General features: G+C 40.3%; 2 annotated features.

Moving 5' to 3' along the window:
- Nucleotides 319–836: an enhancer, noted in NCBI's record as "NANOG-H3K27ac hESC enhancer chr1:53895322-53895839 (GRCh37/hg19 assembly coordinates)". NCBI's record gives its function as "activates a minimal SCP1, AML or CMV promoter by ChIP-STARR-seq in naive and primed H9 embryonic stem cells {active_cell/tissue: H9 hESC(naive and primed)}" and the evidence as "EXISTENCE:reporter gene assay evidence [ECO:0000049][PMID:30033119]".
- Nucleotides 792–992: a silencer, noted in NCBI's record as "peak233 fragment used in MPRA reporter construct". NCBI's record gives its function as "represses an SCP1 promoter by STARR-seq MPRAs in K562 erythroleukemia cells {active_cell/tissue: K562}" and the evidence as "EXISTENCE:reporter gene assay evidence [ECO:0000049][PMID:32103011]".

Genomic DNA, 3,934 nt, shown 5'->3' on the forward strand with positions numbered 1-3,934 from the left:
CATACAAAACCGTATCCAGGCCATCACCAATCATTCTATACAACAAATGTTTCTTCTAACATCCCCACAATATCACCCCTTACCACAAGATCTCCCTTCAGCTTAATCTCTCCCATTCTAGGTTCCCACGCCGCCCCTAATCCCGCTTGAAGCAGCCCTGAGAAACATCGCCCATTCTCTCTCCATACCACCCCACAAAAATTTTCGCCGCCCCAACACTTTACCACTATTTTGTTTTATTTTTCTTATTAATATAAGAAGACAGGAATGTCAGGCCTCTGAGCCCAAGCCATGCCATCGCATCCCCTATGACTTGCACGTATACATCCAGATGGGCTGAAGTAACTGAAGATCCACAAAAGAAGTAAAAATAGCCTTAACTGATGACATTCCACCATTGTGATTTGTTTATGCCCCACCCTAACTGATCAATGTACTTTGTAATCTCCCCCACCCTTAAGAAGGTTCTTTGTAATTCTCCCCACCCTTGAGAATGTACTTTGTGAGATCCACCCCTGCCCGCAAAACATTGCTCTTAACTTCACCACCTATCCCAAAACCTATAAGAACTAATGATAATCCACCACACTTTGCTGACTCTCTTTTTCGGACTCAGCCTGCCTGCACCCAGGTGAAATAAACAGCCACGTTGCTCACACAAAGCCTGTTTGGTGGTCTCTTCACATAGACACGCATGAAACACATATTATTAGATTCTAGCTTTGTCCATTGTTCTTGAGTTTTTATTATTTTCCTGTAATTTGGACTGAATTCTGAATTCCTTCCTGGCTATATGTCTCCAAACTAACATTTTCAAATTTTTTTTTCCATTTTTCTGACTTGGAATCATTAGAAATCATTGAAACTGTGCTTTTCTTAAGGCCCTGCAAACTGAAGCTAGACAACTTAAACTTCAGGAGAAATCAAAGCAACTTACATATAAACAGATTTCATGCTTGCTGAAGTATGGACTACTGAAAAAGTTCACTTAAACACCTGATTCGAACTACAATCCGAAGTTGCCACTGCAATCTGAAGATGTTTCAGAGACTCTTGAAAAGCTTGTCTATAGACTATTCCAGGCATTAACCTTTGTTTTTCTTCGGTTTCCATAGAAATGCCTCGTATTAAAGATGTTTGCCAGCAACATACAGACAGAGCCAATCTGCAATGCCACCTCCTGGAATAGGTCACAACTGTTTAACCAAACTGATATATTCTCAGGGCTGAGACTGATTCAAGAAGATATAGAACGATACACTTAAATTTGCTCTTTTCTGTTTATCCCAATTTGTTTTTCTACTCCTTTGTCCATCTGTACCTAAAACTTCTAAGCCAAATCTCTCCAAAGCTATTGGCTTAGCTTTTAATATGTGAATTTTTTTTAAGGTTTCAACGTGGGGACTGAAGGAAATCAAAATAGTTTACCCCAAAATATATTTCTTTGCCATATTTTGAGATGGCTGTCAGAGAGCCAGCAAACAGAAGTAGGCATGCAAAGCTGTCTTTTGTGGGGGAGATTTACATCTGTAGAGAATTTGCATTGAGGCAGCCAGGCTTTCCTTTGTCTGGATCTAGGGAAAAGAGTCTGACACCTTTAAGGTCTGAAAGAAACACCATCTATTCTCTCTGAGGGCTACTACCTGTGGAATTTCATCTACATAACAAGACCACCTTTGCTAGTCAGGCCTTCTCTTCTTTTCCTCCCATAGCCTTTGTGTGTGTGTGTGTGTATGTGTGTGTGTGTGTGTGTGTGTGTGTGTATGCTGCCATAACCTGATTTGCCACAATCCAGGCCCCCATTCTTTCTGTAACCTCAAGATGGCATAAAAACTTCTGCACCCCACTGGGATACTGGGTAATCATTCTGATGTACTCTATGTACATGTTAAGAAATTGGATGCCTTTTCTCTTATTAATCTGCCTTTTATGAGTTGATTTTTCAGTGAATCTTCAGAGGGTGAAGAAGTTTCCCCCTTTGCCCCTACAAAATTTATTTTTCCCACTAAACTGTAAGATCCCCAAGGGAAGGGTCCGTGTATTATGCTCATCACAAAACCTTTCTGCCTAGCACATGGTGGATATTGACTGGTAGTGTTTTAGACTGGGGCATGCGCAGAATTACCACAATGCTGCTGAAAGTTTGGATACCATATCACAGAAGCTCTCAAAATATACTAACTGAAACACACACACACACACAAACACAAATGTGGTCATAATCACATCGTTAATACCTACGCTATTTACATATCCACCCAAATAGTAGAATTCAGGAAGCCAAGACAAAGTCTCCTAAGTGATATTAAAATTTACATTTCCTTTCAAGTGGTTCTTTGCTCATGATTTTAAAAATAATTGATCTTCAAGAACACAAAAACAAGCATACTATAATTGAATGGCTGCCTATCAAAATGTGATCTGACTTCGGTAATTATTTTTGCCTTCCAAAGGCTCAAAAGACTTTCTAAAGACATACTTGTGCAGCAAGGAAAAGAACTCATAACCTTAACGCTTTGATTCCTTCTCATCTTTATCATGTGGTATTAACATGTAAATATGACCTTTGCTTTTCAAGATTTTACCTACTTCCTTTATTCACTTCTCAAAGGACAGATCAATGGATGAGATTACAGCTATCATGAAATTAATTTCATATACTTGAGAAAGCTACTTTAATCACCACCTGGAGGAAAAGATAAATAGCCTGATACCACTTCCTTAGCTGTAGGAACTAAGATTAGAGGAAAAAATTGTGATAAAGCCTCTCGTTGAAGCTGCAATACCACACACACACACACACACACACACACAAGCAAAAGTGCTGCATTTATGATCAGTCCCTTCAAGTTAGAACTGAGGCACTGACCTGGTGAGCAAATGACTTAAATATTAAATTAAATATTGACTATTTTGCAGTTTATTTCTAGACAATTTTGCCATAGGTTTTCCACAATTGAGACACACTGCAAACTCCTCATTGGTACAAAATGAGGAAAGCTTTACAGTACATATAAATAGAATTTTTTTTTTTGAGATGGGGGATCCTCCCACGTCAGCCACCTCAGCCTTCTGAGTAACTGGGACTACAGCCGTGCACCACGATGCCTGGCTAATTTTTTTTTTTTTTTTTTTTTTTTTTGGTAGAGACAGGGTTTTGCCATGTTGCCCAAGATGGTCTCAAACTCCTGGGCTCCAGTGATCTATCTGCCTCAGGCTTGCAAAGTGCAGGGATTACAAGCCGGCACCACTGCACCCAGCCTGAAATTTTTTTAAGAAATAATTTCAAGGTACTATAAAAAACAATTTAAGAAAATGATAGTCATTGGTTCTATCAAGGTGCTGAGCTGGAGTAATGAAGAACATGTGGACTTTGATTCAGACTATATCACTCATTAGCTACATGACTTTGAGCAAGTTATCTAGCATCTGAGTCTTAGTTTTATAGAGAAACAAGAATTGTGATTGTCAAGCGTGTCCATGTGAAGAGAGTCCACAACAGGCTTTGTGTGAACAATAAAGCTTTTTAATCACCAGGGTGCAGGCGGGCTGACTCCTTTTTCAGACTCAGCCCACCTGCACCAGGTGATTAAAAAGCTTTATTGCTCACACAAATCCTGTTGGTGGACTCTCTTCACACGGATGCACTTGACATTTTGTGCTGAAGACCCAGGACAGGAGGACTCCTTCGAGAGACCAGTCCCCCATCCTTGCCCTCACTCGGTGAGGAGATCTACCTATGACCTCAGGTCCTCAGACCAACCAGCCCAAGGAACATCTCACCAATTTCAGATCGGGTAAGCGGTCGTTTCACTCCCTTCTCCAACCTCTCTCACTATCCCTCCACCCTTCAATCTCTCCCTTCCTTAATTTTGGTTCCTTTTCCCCTTTCTGGTAGAGACAGAGGAGATGCATTTTATCTGTGAACTCAAAA

This window comes from Homo sapiens, chromosome 1, assembly GCF_000001405.40.
Source record: "Homo sapiens chromosome 1, GRCh38.p14 Primary Assembly".
NCBI lineage: Eukaryota > Metazoa > Chordata > Mammalia > Primates > Hominidae > Homo > Homo sapiens.